We start from the raw sequence: 19,157 nt of genomic DNA, 5'->3' as shown, positions 1-19,157 counted from the left end.
TTCCCCATCCTCCCCATCCAATTCAGGACTAGAATACAGAAGCCCATGTTTCTTCCAGCCTTGATAAAAAAAATTCCTCACCCCACCTTCCCCTTGCCTTTTAGAATACTCTGCACGACACAGGCCCGTGAGACTCAGCCAGTGTTCAAACAGCTCATGCCAGAGGCTGCTCTGGGCACCAGGAAGCAAGAAACTTATAAGGCACCAACCCTGGCTTTGAGGAGCCCCCAATTTAATGAGAAGTTGGAGCAGTAAAGAAATGTTACAGTCCATGTAGGAAGTGCTATGGTAGAGGCAGCTGGAGCACCTTACCGAGCTCAGGAGACCAGGGGGGTGGGGGGGCTTGCCAGAGGGCACAGCATTGCAAGCAGGGCAATGACCCAGTTCTAAGACAGACTCGTCACATGGCAAGCAGAGTCGGTCAGACTTTGGACAAGTTTATTGACTTCTTTGGAACCTCAGTTTTCTCATTTGACAAAACTAGATGGTCAAGAAGCATCTAGGATTATTGGGACACGTAAATTACATAATTCTGACACAGCCCCCCCAACTCTGGGTTCCTGGTATGGGGTAAGTTTTTAGTAAATGTGAGATGCTGTGATTAGTACTGTGAATATGATGGCTATTTCAACAGAAGAATTATAAAGAAAGGGCTTCAGGAAGGGATTGGGAGTGACTCAAGCAGGCAACCATCAAAGCACTTTGTGCAAAGATCAGGTCCTTTTCTGAGCACTGAAAATTTGCCTATTTAGAGATGCGGCAAGCTGAAGTGACATTTACTCCCCGCGGAAGGACACAGGAGGCAGACAAGTGGTGAAGCTCATTATCTGGTGATGCAGCCGCAGACGTAATGGTCAAAGAACAAGACTTCCAGGGGCTGCCCCAAGTTCGCCACACACGCCTCTTGATTAGAAAGAATAGTCCATGCAAAGGTAGGGCATTTTACACAGCACTGCAGACATGCAGAGAAGGTGCTCAGAAAATATCTGTCGAAAGTCTGGTTAGAGGAGATGAGAAGGAATATCTAAGAGAAAAGCACAAAGATTTAGCAAATACATGGATCCTCATTTCTCAGCCTCCTTACCCCCACCCAAATCAATGGGTTGGCTTTGTTATGTGCTGCTGCTCTCCTTCTCCTTTCCTGCATTGCCTCTTTCTCTTAAAATTGGCTCTGGTGCACCCCAATAGCTACAAACCCTTAGATACCCAGAGAGCACGTCCTCCTCCCCAGTAGAGCCGGAAGCATCTGTCCCAAACTGAGCTTCACTGTGAAAGAGACATTATTTCCACTCATGAGAGCTACAAGGTATGTGAAATAGTGAATTTCATGTAAATATATGCACACTCAAGTGTATAAAAAAGAAATTATTCTACAAAGACTGAAGAGGAACACTCACTGTCAAAAGACATTTTTAATTCTTGAGCATTTGCAGGGAAAATTGACTTTAAGCTTGGCTAAATCATGTAGAAACTGTGTTTTCTTATAAACATGGGAAAGAAACATTCAAGAAGTTTTATCAAAGAATGGGAAATCTAGCCTATTGCCCAGGCCTAGGCTCACCACTGTCCCCACCACCTCAAGCAGCACCCCCTTCCCTCCTTTCTGAGCTCACTAAGCCTTGTTGAGGAGTGGAAGATGGCAGCTGTATGTGTCCATTGGCCACTGCAGCTGCCTCAGTGTCCACACCTCACCTCCCACCCGTAGACTCCCTCCACCTCTTCTAATAAGCTCCTTGCCCTCTGGTTTTGATTCTGAGCTCCAGCTACTGGCTCTGCCTGGACAGAGACCTAGAGAAGCCATCAGCCTGAGAGGCAAGAGGCAAGGCTTCATCTGAGGTTCAACCAAAGAAAAAGCGATTTGCTCCCCACTTGTCCAGGGGGACTTGGTGGTCCCAAGGGTGAAATCTTGGCCATCATCCCACCACAAGTTGGGAGAACGACTGCCTTTCCTTCTATCCTTTTGCACGTGCCATCAGGCTGCCCTTGGAGATTTGACCTGGGGCTCAACTGTGGACATAGGGAAAGGGTGAATAGGGAATAAAGAGGCACCAGAAGCCTGTATGCCTATTTCACAGAAAGGGCAAGACTTGGAAATTTGGAGAATTTCATTAAGATAGAGACATTCTTTCACAGCAAGCCTCATGTTTTGCATGTGGACATGATGGGTAAAGAGGTGGAGTTCTTCACCCAGGGTTCAAGGCCGGCCAGCTCATGGCTAATGTAGCAGGACTTTCAGCAAGACCCTGATGCTGTCGGAGTACACGGGGCTCTCTGCTCACCCCCTGATTCTGTGTAATGATCTCAGCTTCTTCCTGCCCTCACTCTCTGCCCACCAAGCTGTCCAACAGAAGGAGGCTTTTATAGACAGATGATAACTAGAGGAGAATCTGGAGATTTCACTTGGGCTTCCTGGCCAGCCATGTCTCCCATACAAACCAGCAGGACCCCAGAACCAGGGTCCCCACCAAGTCCTGAAACTCTTCAGTGGGTATTTTTAAGAGGAATCCCAGTTCAGCTCTGAAGTCAGTGAAACCATTCTGAAGGCTCTGCTTGCTACAGAATGTTTACTGAGAAAAGACACTGTGCCCAACTTTTCTGGACAGCTGTCCTTTAAAGACTTGGGCCACCAAATTCATCTCTGCCTTTCAGGAGGAAATTCATAGAAGCAGATTGGGCATTTCAGGCTTGAAATATGAAGGTATTATAATTGTCCTATTTACTTACGGTTAAACTCACAACAAAGTTTGGGGTTTGTGTCCCTTCATGTCTCCAGTTCTCCAACATCAGGCCCCATACTGATGTCTCCATTAGCCCGGATGACACAGCTGGGAGCCCCAGGTCTCTGCTCCTGACAACTGCATTTAGTTTTGGCAGGTTGGATTTACAGTATCTCTAAGACATCAAAGTAAACAAGTTCAACGGACTGCCAGATTTGAAGCTCAGATGATAAATCTGAGCTGAAGTACAATACTTAGGATTTGTCACAGTAGTGTGGACAGATACCCCTGGGTATCTGGGGATACCCAAGGATAGCCCTGGGAGCCTGTAAGGTGTAAAGAGAATCCTGCTAGAGGCAGCATCCAGGATCTAGCCCAGGCTCTGCCGCCTCCCTCACTCCCCTCAGCCACACTCCAACCCAAGAGCAGGCATGACATCTCCCTCACCTGGCAACTGCATCCCTCCCTAACTACTCTGACATCACACCTGGCCCGGCCCCTGCAGTTGAGTGAGATCTCTGGCCTCCTAATTATCTTTTGCTATTCCAGGCAGTGCCCTTCCCCAGAAGGTATATCATAACTTTAGGTTCATTTCCAGGAGTCCTGCTTCATTTTGCTTTCTTAAATAAATGACCATCAAGATTTATACCATCACTTTCACAAAGTGATGCTTGTGGAACTTACGTGCATTTTACTTACATGAGTTTAATGATATGTGCTAGGCAAAAAGAGAAAGAGAAAGATAACCTTAAACATTCTGCAAAGACCAACTTTCCAACCGATAAGTGTAAGCCTTGAAGTGCACATGAGTGGGAGAACTAAATCTTTCATCCTGTCAATCTGTCTCTGTTTCTATTGGGCCAGCATTTAAAGACAAACATTTTGCATACAGCATGGCCCATAAATGCAAGCCTCCTAACTTCATCTGAGGCTCGACCAAACAAAAAGTGATTTGCTCCCACACCAAGGGGCAAATAACATCACTCCTTCCAAAGTGATGTTTCAAGGGTAATGAGACTTGATGTGATTGTTGCCTTCTGCCTACCTTTAGGAACTAACCTTATAAAAAATATGTCTCCAGCCAAGCTTTCCCTCTGATAGGCACGTAATCCAACTCTCCTTCATAAAAATGTACTGTACTGCTTTATTACAAGATATTTTTATAAAGATCTACTACTAGATGGTAAAATCTCTAGATATAGAGTGTGAGAAAAGAGAACAGGGAAAGAAAGTGAAATCGAATCTTGTCCATGAACACTTTGGGTTTGCTGTGGTGCTGGCAGCCATCTGGCTGTAGGAAATTGCCACCTGGCAGATGGTAAGTTCCGGCAATTTGCTGGGAATTTCAATTGAAGGGACCTGTTCTTTAGCTGGAAATAGCTCAGGAAAGGGAAGGAAAACAGACTTGCATTGAGTTCTTACCGCATGCCAGGCACTGTGACAGCACCCTGAGCGTGCTATTTCTTTTGACCTGCACAGTACCCTGTGGAACTGTCATGGTCCCCATTTACATTTGGGAAGCCTCCAGCTTAGGGAAGGCAACGCTCCAGGCATACTAGTAAGTGGCAACGCTGAAACCACATAATAGGATACAGAAATCCATGCTCTTTTTGTTGAAGAGTTTAACTCACAGATGCCAGACACTTAAGAGGCAGTGGCCTGCGACAGTCACCTCAGAACTGAGCTGCAAACACTTCTAAGGCTTCTGCAGAGTCACAATCCCACTTTGGAATCCTGATTCAGACCCTATCCAGGAGCTGGGGGAACTGTGTCCAGGGGTCGCTGGGCATGCGTCCCTCTTTTCTTCCTGTAGGGGGCAGCCACTATGTGTGCATTAAATGCAAACTGACGTCCTATTGGAGGAGAGGTGGACTTGGTTTGAGTTCTTTCAGAGGGGAGGAAAGGTTCCTAAGTGAGGGAGGGAAAACGAAGTAAAAATAAAGCCAGGAAATGTGATGAGGCAGAAAGCATTCATCAACAGAACTACCACAGGGAGGCAAGAGAAAAAGGGGGTGCGGTTGGCCATTGAGAGAGCCAGGATACCGAGAACAGTAAAGCTGCCTGCCCACAGTTCATCCATGGGTACATGGACCATGTGGGCCCGGCAGTGAGTATGATGGTTGATGGGCGTTCACAACAGACTGAAGATAGGAGACTCCCCTGGAATGCTCTGGACAAGCCCTTGGGACTCTCGTGTGGCTCTAAAAGGAGCAGTCCCTCCAAGAATGACAGATTTTGGACATCTGGTATACCCTTGCAAATAGGGCCACTAAGCCAAATTTAATTTGGTTCAGAAAAACAGAATAATGTGATGTTTGATGAAAAAAAAAAAAAAAACAGCAAATGCTAACAGATAGGCAGAAATAGGTATCCGGACTTGGAAGTAGAAGACATAAAGAGGCATAAAGATGTGGAAGATGTGGGAGCAAATCACTTTTTCTTTGGTTGAGCTTCAGATGAAGTTAGGAGGCTTAAATTTATGAGCCATGCTGTATGCAAAATGTGTAACTTTAAATGCTGGCCCTATAAGAACAGCATAACAGCATAAAGATTTCACCTTAATGTAAGGAAGAACCTTCTGATCAGTAACTAGATGATGATAAAATGGGTCATTCAAGAGGTAGCAAGTTCCGCATCCCTGCAGATATTCAAGCAAAAGCTGGGACCCCTTCTTCAGGAATGTTATGGAGCAGATTCCAGCATGGAGTTTGAGGCTAGATTAGATCATTTTTATATTGAACAGGCTGATTTTCTGTAGTTTAATGAATGAAACAGTGACTGCCTATACTAATAGTTTAAAATACCATTTTAAATAACTATTGGCTATATTAAATTAAAGGCACTTGGCAAGTCAAATTCCCAGCTTGTACCTATACCCAGGGTCACTTTATAATTCAGCTCTCAGGGTCCCTGTTCATTATCCCAAGCTATCTGGCAGCAAAACCTTTCAATATCCAAACAAGTGCCTCCTCCCTACAGGAAAGTACCGTTCCTGTAATATATCCTTTAAGATCATGGTAATAGTTGTCCTTGGACAAGTCTCTGTAGGTTACTTTCTTTATTATTTTATCAAGTATGTCAATTACTGCCTAGACTGCAATTGTAAAGAACTATAAATACACTTATGTTATACATTATCAGACAACGAAAGTGAATATCATTGATGAATGTGCTTGTTCACCCTGTTCTACTTTGCAAACCAGTTAGCTTTTGTTTGGCTGACACAGCATTCTTCAAAAAATTGTAGCAGGGTACTTTTAGGGAATGCATGCCTGGCTCCTGCTTGTCACAGCTCTCATCGGGTCCAACGGTATTACACGACTGCTTCACACTTCACAGAGACTATCATTTCCTATGGATCTACCTTTGACAGTCGTCTAGGATGGCTACCAAATGAGAGCCATTTAATCTCAGTGGGTTTATAGAGTGTCAAACACAAACAATTGCCCCTTGTTATTTACCTGCTTTGTGCCCATGCCTCTGGCTGGCAAATGCTAGAAGCAGGTCTTACCCTACATGTGCAGCCCTCTGTCTGCTCTCAACAGGTTTCCAAGCACCTTGTGTAATAAGTACTTGTCAAACTGAATCAAAGACTATGTGTTCCCTCAGCATAGGACTGAGAATCGGAAATACTTACAGATGGATGGACACAAAAATGCAGACTAAATTTAAAATGACTGTGAAAATGAATGTTGCAGGGTGGTCTTGAAGATATAGATGTGTTCAGAAAACAAAAGCTGGTGTAGCCAGGCATGATGGCTGGTGCCTGTAGACCCAGCTATTGACCGGCTGAGGTGGGAGGATCACTTGAGCCCAGGATTTTGAATTCAGCCTGGGCAACATAGTAAGACCCCATCTTTAAAAAAAAAAAAAAAGCTGATGTTGATAATGAAGCATTATACTAGCAATAGAAACGAGGATGCATGTAGGAACTTCCTTCTTACTACAAAGCTTTAACAGGCCATGGAAGATACAAGAGAAAGGTTTGTGTGCCAGGAGAAAACCTGAGGCCTGCCACCTATAGCTTCCAAGACATATTGGGGACAATTGTGGTCTGGGTAGGGTTTGCTTTCCCAAAAGCTCACAGGTGGTCACAGCAGCACCAGACCTTATGCTTCTCTTGTTGCAACCTCTCTTCTAAATGCCTGGAACAGTGCTGGGCACAAAATCATCCAAGCATAGTTATTGATGGCTTGATTACAATTTCCTAGCAATGAGATGCACATAGTTTACAAAATGTCTGCAAATGTGGTGATTCTTACCTTCCAAGTCTCATGATATCACAAACTGAATAGCAGTTTTGCCTCACATCCTTTTCCAAAGAGGTCGCCAATGTTGATTCATCCCTTTCTTGGTGAAGTTTGCATAAATGAGGGTGGGACTCAGGAGAATGTGTCAAGGAACTGGCCCAAGGTCTCTCTCTGTTTTGGCCCCATTGTGCCTCTCTGATGGCCTTTTGGGAAGACTCTGGCCTGAGACCCAGGCCTTCCCCTGCATCTGGGGAGGCACTGTCCCTCCAGCTGTCCTCTTGATCCAGGATGGGGCTGGTACATGAGTCAGTACATGTTGCCCTGGTGAATTCTTTGTCAGCTGAGAGTTCAGGTGTCTATTAAAAGAAATGCTACTAATTACTGGCTGCGGGATGCACATTGTTTTTTTAAAAATACAAAGCTTTTTTCCCCCATGTGATTATAGATCAGAGTAGTTACAAGATGGGCTTTGAGGTCTGTCTATCACCATAGCATCCCAGCTCCTCCACATGCTCCCAGCTGGACACTGGGCAACACACTCAGGCACCTTAGCTTAGGGGGCTTTGGAAGCTCTCCATAAATGTGAGCCTTATTTTTAAATAAAAAATATTTGCAAAATTTAGACAAAGATAAAAATGGAAGATAAATATGCAAAACAATGACTCTATTCCACTTTCCGATAAGAAATGTTTCTTTTTAAGTTTTTCATCTTCATCTGTCATCTCAGGGCTTGTCTCCCTGTCTCCACCCCCATCAAGGTGATGTTCTTTCCTGGGTCTCCTCCTCACTTTCCCAGACATGACTTGCTTCGTCTCAACTGCTCACCTCCCTGTCAGCCTTTTAGGTTCTGGTTTTGATGATGTGCTATGTCTTGCTGCCACTGCTTGACCTTCTACAGAAAAACAATCTGTGTTTCAGTAGAAAACTGTTTTTATCTACAGCAGAACTTGCTGGGTTCTCTGATTCTGGCTGTCTCCACTGTCTTTGAGCTATTTTACAACTCTATAAATAAACAGGTCCTTTGAAATCTCTTTTGAGCCAGTTTTAACATCTGCCTGGTTCCCTCACTGAATGAGTTAAATAAAATCTTTAACGTGTTCATTTTTATATCTGTAGGAATCATGATTTTACCTTTTCCTGAAAATTATCTTCCAGCACTTCCACCCCATGATCTCCATACCTGATGTAATAGAGCCCATGCCTGGGTTCCCACCCCTGCCCTCACCTACAAAAGAAGAACCACCCCAATGAGTGGTCTCCCCACATTTCTGATTGTACATCCCTAACAATGAGAGGGATACACCTCCAAATGTGCACATTTATTTAATTATAAATCATAAACATTTACTACTCTTCTGATAGACTGGACATTATAAAGGATACACCAAAAATCAAAATTTTAAGAAGACCATATTTTGTCACATTTTCATACTCTTTGGAGAGACCTCCAAAATCTGTTTTCTAACCTATCCTCTCCTTCTAGCTCATTATCCCTGGACATGCTCTCCAGCAATCCTTCCCCACTCCAAGACCTCCAGTCTGTGGAGCTGCTGCTTTTCATCATTACCCCCACTCCCCTTCCCTGTCACACATGTCCTCGGTGTGCCTCTTATTCTGCTTAGATTCCATGGCTCTGCCCCTAGATGCTCACTTACAGACAAGGAAGACCCTGAGCTCCCACCTCCTTGCCCCTCTCTTCCTCCATCACGTGTCACTTGCAGATTCTGAGTTTCCATTTTAATTCCTACTCAAACTGTGTGAACCTCACCCCTGCTTCTGAGCCTCTGACTAGATTAGCTTCAAGTGTGTGACTGCAGATGTCAAATGGGCAGTCAAGACTTCCACATAATCTTTCTCTGTGTCCTTAATCCATTCAGTTTTCTACCTCTGCTCTCTAAATTATTTCTCATCTTGTCTCTCTCTTCAAGTTTCTAACAACTCCACCCTGACCTTGCCTGTGACCTCACAGTGAGAATGGACACGTTCAGATGAGAACTCTTCATCTTCCCACAGCAAATTCCACTGAGCAGCCTGTGCCCCTACCCCAACTTCAGCTTCCACCTCTCGCCACCCATTTCTGTGCTCTACTTCATGGCAGCCTCTTAGATGAGTGTCTCTTCTCACCGTTTCCACGCCTCCCTCCTTCTTTCTTGCACCCACTAGCACCAGCCTTCTGTCCTTACCACCCAAGGGAAGGAGCCCACATCAGGGTCCCCAGCGACCTCTATCTTTCTAAAGCTGAAGAACAATATTTTGTCCTTTCACTCTCTCTCTCAGCAACGTTCAACAAAGTGTGTCCCTCCCTCCTTCCTGAGAGCTTCCTTGCTCATTAGCCCTACTTACATGGAGTTGACCGTGAGCCCCACCCTTGCTTGGTTTTTCCACCAATTCCCAGGCCCCATCTTAATCTCATATGTTGTCCCATCTCTGTACCAGGCCTCTCAATGTTGTTATGCTCTGTGCTGACTTCTCAGTCCTCTCCTTGAACTTATCTGCACTCTTTCCCAAGGTGATCTCAACCATTTCATGGCTTTACACGACCTCTATATATGCTGACAACTCCCAAATTCACTTTTCCCAGCCCTGATCTCATGCCTATTCTCCACAACTGCCTAATAGACTCTTCACTGGATAGCCTATAAACATCTCAGTTTTAAATGATACCAAGAACTATTGTTTCTCTTCCATGCACCCCAGATGGCCTTCCCCAGCCCCTGTAAGCAGTCCCTCTCTTGGGAACTGGTACCAAGAGAGATGAAGTGGAAAATAGGATCTATGATTACCCTCCTAAAGCATGAAATAGGTATATGTGATCTAGTGCAAAGAAGAGAGGTATTGGAATCAGGAAAATCAGGCTTTTTACCTTCTTACCCCTCCTTCACCCTGCATTGGTGGTAGCACCATTTCCCCAAGGCTTCCTCATGCCAAAGCTTGATTGCTCTCTTTCCTCATGCCTGTTTCTAATCCCAAAGTAGTCTCCTGAACTCCGCCTCCCAGATGTATCCCAAATCTGGCTGCTTCTTAACACTTCAGCTACAGCCTGAGTCCAAGCCACATCATGTTTGACCTGAATGACTGCTGCTTGACCTCCTTTAGTCCCTGTGCACCAGTAACCCGAGTGGCCCCTCTGAAGAACGGAGGAGGGCATTTCCTGCTTAACCCTCCATGCCAGCCCAGTGGCTTCCCACTGCATGCAGGATGGCGGCATCATGCTCCTCTGATCCCCAAGGCCCTCCAGGGTCCCTGCCACCTCCACAACTTCCTCCACTTCTGCTTCATTAACGATGGCCCAAGCACACTTGTATTTTTGTCCCTCAAACATCCAAGTGGGTTCCCATCTCAGGGCCTTTGTTCATGCTGTTCCTTCTGCCTGGAATGCCCTTACCCCAAATGTGGGCATGGCTGCCTCCTTCTCAGAGGTGCTTTACTTTATGGACTAAATGCTTGCTCCCCAGAGCTGCTGACCCTTGTTCTGCAATCTGACCACTGGAGCCACCCAAGCAAATCACAATCCTCCCACTTGGCCTTCGGGTATGAGGAGGGAAAGCTCACCCCCACACCTCACCTGGACCCTTCCTGCTAGATCTTTATGGGCTCTCCTGGGAGGAGCTATTCTCCAGGATGGAAATACCACTTTTTTCCCTGGGATTTCCTAGATATTTCAACAAAAACACAGGGTCCCAGCACCTTGGCCTGAATTTGTGTGTGTGAAATTTGGCCCTCTCTCACCTGGTTCGGTTTCTTAACACAATTGCTGCTGTCTACCTTCTTTTCCAACCCAGCAACTTTTGGATATCTTTCCCATAGCTCTTCCCTCCCTAGAGGCTATGTCAAATGACCTCTTGGAGTCTAAGCATCAACAGGATCTGGGACATCAAGTCCTTTATGTTGTCCTAGTGATGGTGTCACCCTCAGGCACAATAAGTGATCACTTTTATCCACATCCTAGAGATGAGGAATCATGGGGCCTAGAGAGGACAGGCAACTGCCCAAGGCCCATGCAGCACAGCAGGTACAGGTGATCCAGGTACCCGCCCAGATCCCCCTCCAGGACTGAGATTCGCATCCTACTGCCTCATCTCCCCTCCCCTGGGGCAGCCCACACCCCAGCGCTGGTTAGGGCAACAAGCAAAGGCACAGGTTCTCTTGTCCCAATTCATGGCAGCTCCAAGGGGCCATCTCTGCTCCAGGGCTCCCTCCAGAATCAGCTGAGGCCCTGTTTATAGCTGCACATTGATCTCTCCTTCTGCCCCACCCCACCTCAGTCACCCTCACAGGGGATGTTCTCAAGCGCAGGCCCCATAAAACCTCCCACGCTCACATCTCTGCTGCAAAATCTGTTTCCTAGGAACCCCACAGAAGGCATGGCAATGGGTAATTGTATCTGTCAACTTGGCTAGGCCATGGTACACAGATAGGCGGTCACATACCATCTAGATGTCACTGTGAAGGTATTTTTTTTTGATGTGATTTGACATTTAAATCAGCAAACTTTGAGTAAAACAGATTGTCTTCCATAATGTAGTGGGCCTCATGCTGTCAGCTGAAGCCCTTAAGAGGAAAGACTGACCTCTCTGAGGAGGAGGGAGTTCTGCCTCCAGACCACCTTTGGGCTTGATCTCCATCAATTATTCTCTGGGTCTCCAGCCTGCTGGCCTCCCCTGTAGAATTGGACTGGCCAGCCCTCAAAATCACATGAACCAATTCCTATAATAAATCTCTTTCTCTTTCTCTCACTCTCTTCATATATAAACACACACATAAACACACACACACACACTCATTCTATCTGTTCTATTTCTCTGAGAACCTGACTAATATATGTGTCAAGGTAAAAATCCCTATTTTCCTGATTCCAATGGCTCTCTTCTTTGAACCAGACTGCACGTGCCTATTTCATGCTTTAGGAGGGTAATCATATATCCTATTTTCCACATCATCTCTCAGAATGGAAATTCTTATTGGAAATTCCCTTGGTCTGCTTCTGTGTCTACTCTCCTTCTTCCCAGGCTTCCCTCTCTGATGCCTGAGCTTCCAGAGAGCCTGGCCCTAAAAGTTTCACAGCCAAAGTCTAAACATGTAAACATCTACAAGAAGACCCAAATGTCAGAAGAGGCAGAATCAGGGAGAGGAAGGAGACCTACTGAGGTTTGGGGGCCAGCTATTTTCCTACCCCTGTGAAAGGAGGTGGCACTGAACCTATCTACAACCCTCTTAGGACCCTAGAGTCTGGAAAAGGGGGGCCCAACCAGAGCCAGGTAGAGAGAGTAGAAGACACTGCAGCCTACCTGCCATTCCTGCTCCATCTCAGGCAGCGCACCTGGAGGGGGTCGGCAAAGGAGGAGCGTGACTTCCTGTGGGGCCCCTCTCAGTAAATGCAGCACCTCCTGCGAGAAACCAAGATTCACTGTTAGATTTGGGCTTGCATTGCTGGGGATGCAGTGATGTTCTCCCCACTGCGTCCCAGGCACTAGCTCCTCCTCCCTGCACCTTGATCTATTTCTCACTCCAGAGAACTCCGGAGAACCCTGCTGTGGGCCTGACTTTTCAAAGTGCAAGGAACCAAGGTCAGTGGCCTGCAGCTTCCACAAAGTTGATGCAAGATGCTGGGCTGTGCATCACCTTTGTGCAGCTTGGGTTCTGGGAACCTCTCATCTGTAATATTGCAGTAACCTCCTCTCCGCTCCCTGCCTTCACCAGTGTCACCCACCTGCCTCCTTCCACATTGCTCAAGGGAATGGCAATATCTGCCAATACCAATGCCTTTTCTTCAGAGAGAGAAAGAATGACTCCAACAAATAGCTGTTCATCTCAATTGCCCTTTCCTCCCAACCTCCCCTCATCTTGGGCCAGCAATTTTGCAGCCTCCACCATCTGAATCTCTAAAGCCTGACCCTTGGCTCTGAGCTTCCTATCAGGGCTCGGCTTGGGCTCTGGGAACCTCTCACCTGTAGTATTGCAGTGACCTCCTCACTGCTTGCTGCCTTCTCCAGTGTCACCCACCTGCCTCCCTCTGCAATGCTCAAGGGTAGTTTTCCACAGTGCAGATATAACTGAGTCCTTCCCCCACTGCACACCCTGGCTGACTCACTTTTCCCTCAATGTAAGCTCCAAGGCATAGCACATAGACCCCGTTTCTGCCTGCCTCTGCCTCTCACCACAGTTCCCTCTCTCCCATCTACTCCCCTCTGCACCCACGTCCTAAGCCCCTGCCATGCTGAATCTGTTGCTCCAAGCCACCCTCTCAATGTCCAGGGTTCAAGGTTGCCTCGATAGCTCCTATTTCCTATTTAGACCAGGATTTCTCAAACTCTTGGCACTGTTGACCTCTCAGGCTGGACAATTCCTTATGCGAATGCCTGTCCTGTGCATTGTAGGGTGTTTAGCAGCATCTCTGATCTCTACTCACTAGATGCCAGAAGCACTCATCAGTTGTGACAATCACAAATGTCTCTGGACTTAATCAAATATCCCATGAGAAGGAAATAATCTCTGCTTAAGAACTGCTGATCAAGACACTCCCCAGTCCCTGCTTCAGCCACGCAGGACTTCCAAGGGGTGCACTTCTTTCCTGGCTCACTGGTGTGAGCACTGCAGCATGGGCTTTCATCTCTCAGGATACATATCTCCTGCCATCACCGCTGTTTTCTGTCCATGAGCTCTGAAACTGCATGAGCTGTCTTCCTCTGTGTCTTCAGTCTCTCATAGAGTTGCCAGCCCAGCAGTGGTTCTCAGAGAAGGGTTCTTGGATCAGGAGATGGATGGATGAAGGCATGCCCTCCCACCCAAGCATATGGTGTTCTAGAGACCTCCCCCCAGCCCTGCCCAGAGCCACTGTCCCCCTTTGTCCATCTTGCTTTGTGTTTCTGGAGCTGACTTATAAAGGCTGCATGAGGCTTCCTGTTGGGCTCAGCTAGGGGAACACGGCAAGAGACCAGAGACAGGGAGGAGCGGAGGTCATTGCTCCTTCCAAATTCCTCCCTTCAGGTTGCCATGGGACGACTACAACCTCAGCCAAAGTGAGAGCTCATGCCAGCGAGTCCCCTCCAACAGCTCTCCATTCCTGGGGTGGAATAACTGCTCTTTCCCTTCCCCTTTGGCCTCAGGATAGGGGTAACTGCATCCCACTCTTCCTATCCTAGCCCTAGGCCACAACATGCTCCCTTGAGCTTCCTAACAACCTGCCCACACCTTTATTAAATGTTCCTCAAATGACTCCATTTTCTTCCAGGACTCTGTCTAATATATACAGTATTTCATTACTCTCTCTTCTTAAATTGCATTTTTTATCATAGACAGGACAATCAGTGTAATAATGTATGAAAAGCTGTAAATGTGTTGAGAAATGGGAAGGAGAGCAGAAAGGGACCCACTCTAGTCCCTTCAGCCCCACGCCCACCTCCCAGGATGTGTGTGAAGAGATGTCAGCCAGCACAAAGGCCAGGGCTTTATCTTCAGCTTCTCTCATGAACCCAGTGAGAAGCAAGGCTGACTCAAGGTCAGATATTTAAAAACAGAGATTTTAAATTAAATGTGAGCATGTACCACTAATTACTCTCTTTGTGTGATTAAAATCCGGGCTGCTGGTGTGATTTTTGAGAGCCCAGAGTTTTCCCCACGGCAGCAGGCTAGTAAGAGGCAAAGCTGGGGCCAGCCTGCACAGAGAGCTGCATTGCCCATGACCCCCGGCACCTGGAAGATGAGGCCTTCCGTGGACCTTCCATTCACGGCCAGGATAATGTCACCAGCTGCAATGGCCCCATTCTCCTCAGCTGGCTGCCCCGGAAAGAGCCTCTTAATCCTCACAAGATCACTTTTGAGATGGCTGCAGCTCTCTTTCTCCATCTGCACGAAACTGAATCCCAAACCATTGGCATTCTTTTTTAGTTTGACTTCAAACTTAGGACCTGTAGTGTGGGATGTTGATAAAAATAAATTCTTCAGTAGATTACAAGTGAAATTGACCAGTCTCAAAATGCAGATTGTCAAGTAGATGAATTATTTCTTTTACGTTCAAATAATTCCTTTGCCAATTTTATGACAGAGTACATTATGTATGTTATAGATTAGTGCTGTCCAATAAAATATAATGTGAGCTATAAATACAAACCACAAATGTCATTTTGAAGTTTTCAAATAGCTACATTAAAATAAAAGGAAAAAGCAAACAAAAAATAAATAAAACAATTTAAAAAGTAAAAGGAAACAGGTTAAATACGCTATAATTGTACATCTAATTTAATCCCATATATCTAAAATATTACCACTTCAACATGTCATCAATATGAAAAAATTATTAATGAGATATTTTTTATTCTTCTTATGAACTAAGCTTTCAAAATCCAATACATATTTTATCCATTTAGATTGGTCACATTTCAAGTCCTCAATAACCACATGTGGCAAGTGGCTACCATATTGAATAGCACAATTATAGATAACTCAACTATGTTTATACATAAAGATATAGCTGCTAGGCATACACAACATGCTCTTGGCATTTAATAAAACTTGTATCACATACATTCCTATTACTCCTTTAGAACTCTAGTCATTTGTAGTATACTTGAAACTAAATTTTGAATAATTAGACCATGGAGAAAATTATGGCCAATTCTATGGACAATGCTTTAGCTGCCATTTTGTTTACCCATGTAGGCTGACCATAAGACAAAACAGTTGCCTCTGGGCACCAAGGATGAACAGAGCTGGCAACCTACATGGTCTGTCCACCAAAGAGGCCTCTGGGCTGCCCCGCTGGCATCAATGCACAGAGGGACAGAGCACAGCTTGCAAACTTCACCAGGGCAAGAATGGAAGCATGTGAAGCAATTATGTGAAGCAATTATGTGAAGGTGTGTCACACGACCAGTTCTACCATCGCCCTAAGGCCTCCTCCACTCTTTGGAGTCCATTTCTCAAAGGCCCCAAGGGAGTGAGCAAAGGGGTGAGGACAGAGGAGACTTGATTTAAACAGAAGCATGCCCCTTTGCCCCACCCCTACCCTATGGCTGGCTTGAGTCTTCTGCAGCAAAATCAGAAAATCTCTATGAAGGGACTAAAACATGGCTAAGGTCCAAATCGTTCTTACTGAGGAAATCAGCGTGTTCCTGGCAAATACCAAAATCACAAGGGAATTGCAGATGGGCAGCCCATCGGAAAACGTGCAGTTTTGTCCCTCTAAATGATCGTTCATTTGCCTTTTAAAATGATGCTAATAACAAGGCTAGATTCCTGAACCTTCTCTCCCAACCTGCCTAGTCATTCCTCAAATAACTTTGTTACAAATGACTTGGCTGGACTGTGAAGCCAAATGTATCTGAAAGTGTATGACCCTTTCAGTCAATTTCATCCTAAATATTCACACAAACATTAACATTCTGGCAGCTGATCAAAGGACTGAGGAAGGCTGGGGGCAGAAAGATGCCTAGAAATCATTTGGGGAAAATGCATTTGTTTCCAGAAACCTATTCCATGAGATGGGCTTCCATGGCATGAAAAAGCCGATCTCAGCATGATCACCATGGCTCGCTTTCTTTTCAGGACCCAGAGGAAGCCTTCCTGCCTTTCCCTTTTGACTTGACAATTCAAAAGCGGCACACAATAACATGACAATAGTAACACTCAATTCTCTCCCCTCTCACCATCTGTCACCGAGACACAGCTCGAAGGCCTGCCAGGCAAGGCTGTTACCAAGGAAACAGCCGTGCGTTCATCTCCCATGCTGTCATTAGCAGAAGGACACTGCTGTGTACTCCTGGGGACTCTTCTCTCTAAGACCAGTCTTGCAACCTAGAAGGAAAGGTGAACAAACTCAGTTTACACTTCATATGGCAACCAGGAGGCACTCCCTTGACTCTGCAAATGCTTCTTAATTTTCGAATCCTTCCTATAAGCAGACTCATTTGAATCTCTCAACTAGCCTATATATTGGGATCTAGACCCAGATTTCTCAGTGCTTATTAGACAAGTGCACCTGAAAGCAACACATGTACCTCCACTTCACACATGCAGTGCCACACTCATCTTCCTCCCCTCACTCACCCTCACTTCCCCTCCTCATTCTTCCTAAAACACTCCTCCCCTCGCATTGGCTCACCCCACCATTAACCTGCCAAGGGCCACATTTGGAGTGGTCCAGCTCTCCCCCATCTGGTTTCTAAGATGTGAACATTCCCCATCAAGAACAGCTCCTCAGTGCCCCCTCCCCTCCACCTCCTCTCTCACTGCCAGTGACCCGCTGGGCCGTGGCAAGCTCTGGTTACCTTGGCTCGCTGGACCCTGTCTGCACCCTTCTTGGTCCACCCCATCATGGCTGCCAGTGAATTGGTCTAAGACAAAAACTGAACATGCAACATTCTTGATTTGAAGTCTCCAATGCTTCCCATCACCTAAGACCCAAACCCATGGCACCCCAGGTCTGTACCACCTGCCCTCCCCTTTCTTTCCAATGTGATTTCCCACATTTCTCCCCACAACACCATATACCCTTGTCGCCCTAAGTGTGATTCAAGAACCAGCAGATAGACATCACCTGGAAGCTTCTCAGAAATGCCAAGCTCCCATTCAGGGCATGTGGCCCTGCCTTCATCTTCCTGTTGCACCTGTCACTCAGCACCTGGCCCAGGATCCCAGAGGGACAATTCCTACCTGCTTAAGCTGCCAAGAGGCCAGCCAAGTACCCTCTCTACCCATGCTCATTAGCAAAGGTCTAAATATCAGAAGGTGCCAATAAATTATGGCTCTGTTCTCAAGATAGGTCAACCAAAGTCACTAATATAAGCAAATTTCACCAGACACCAGAAAAACGCTTTGGGAAAGAAAGCGAAAAGTGGCCAGAACATTGCCCCAAGCTTGCTGGAAGGGCCTTCAGGAATCCCTCCTGTCTCTGTTGACTTTTTAGTTGCCAAAAGAGGGTGATGCCAGCTCTGTGGCTCAGGACACAGAGGCAGTTAGAGGCTCCTAACCTCAGGCAGAGGACTCGGCACAGTGGGATAACATCGAGTCACTGCGGGGCAGGGAATAAAGGGGACATAAAGGATGAATGGCTCTGTTCTTGGCACCCTGAATTCCTACCTCATTGTGAGGAAAAGAATCCCAGGACACTCTGACCCACGCCCCGGTGGGTACAACACAGGGTGAGGGGGAATGGCATGAACAGGGAATGGAGTGGGGTCATCCCATGCAAACGTAGGGAGGTAAGAAGGCCCATGGACACAGGGCCAGCGGGGCTGGGGCAGCCAGAGCCAGGCTAGAGCAGTCTCTTCACTCCATCTTCTCCATTCCGCTGTCTGATTCCAGAATTCAGGCAAGCCACCAGTAAGTTTCTAAGGCTATCTATGGGGGGTGAGATTTTTTTTACTCAGAAACATCTATCTGCTATCTCCTGGGTTTCACATCCCCATAGAAAAGTGAGGGTAAGAAGAAATGGAAGAGAAAAAAAAAAACTAACAAAGAAAAAGTCTTGTTTCCTGCCTGCCTCCCTCCCACCCAGAGGCGATTTCAGCTTCTGATGTTGTTCAGGAAAGTTCCGGAAGGAGGGGAAGCTGGTCAGCAACAGTCCACTCACCTGCCCAGGACCCTTCAGGCACTGCACAGCCTGCTTGTGGGTGAGGCCGCACAGAATCACTCCATCCACCTGCAGGAGTCGGTCACCTGGGAAAGGGATAGATGTCATGTCATGACCTGGTGCTTGAGGCTGCAGGAGGTTCCCTTCCAGGAGGCCCCTGCCCGGCACCCCTCCATGCAGCCTGGAGAAGTGGGAAAGGAAGCTGAGGTGCCAGGTGTCCCCCTGGAGTCAGCAGGAATCCTGCCTCTCTGAGCAGTCTCACTCCCTTCTTCTCAGGCACATCACAGATCAGGGATATAAAAGCCTTTCTATTATTGGCTCACAGAATGGTTGAGCCAGCTCTGTTCAACCTTATCCTTCCTCCTGTTTTCCTGTGAAACCGTTTTTGAAAGTATTTTCAAGTCACTTAGATATTTATATCTCCAGGATGTATTTTTTTTATTTCAAAAAAAGGTCAGGGAGGCATGGTTGACGCTGGGGACACCAGAATTCTAGGGGAAATGGAGATAAGTAAGATCCTAGGTTCCCCTTTTGGCTCAATTCTGGCAGTTTTGGAGACCAATAAAAATCACCCCCTTCCATCAGAGAAGTGGGAGCTGAGCAAGGGCAAACAGAAGGCTC

General features: G+C 46.4%; 1 pseudogene across 1 annotated transcript; it reads right to left on the bottom strand.

Moving 5' to 3' along the window:
* Positions 1–211: 211 nt before the first annotated feature.
* On the bottom strand, positions 212–18,864 carry FRMPD2B (FERM and PDZ domain containing 2B (pseudogene); annotated as a pseudogene). The gene is made up of 6 exons (NR_033172.1): positions 18,537–18,864; positions 16,612–16,759; positions 14,660–14,874; positions 12,256–12,354; positions 6,980–7,323; positions 212–1,024 (listed from the first exon to the last, which is right to left on the bottom strand). The product of NR_033172.1 is annotated as an FERM and PDZ domain containing 2B (pseudogene) (transcript).
* Between the last annotated feature and the right edge of the window lie 293 nt (positions 18,865–19,157).

Source organism: Homo sapiens, chromosome 10, assembly GCF_000001405.40.
Source record: "Homo sapiens chromosome 10, GRCh38.p14 Primary Assembly".
Taxonomy (NCBI): domain Eukaryota; kingdom Metazoa; phylum Chordata; class Mammalia; order Primates; family Hominidae; genus Homo; species Homo sapiens.
The sequence above is the reverse complement of the archived record's forward strand: the minus strand, read 5'-3'. Positions and strand labels throughout refer to the sequence as shown.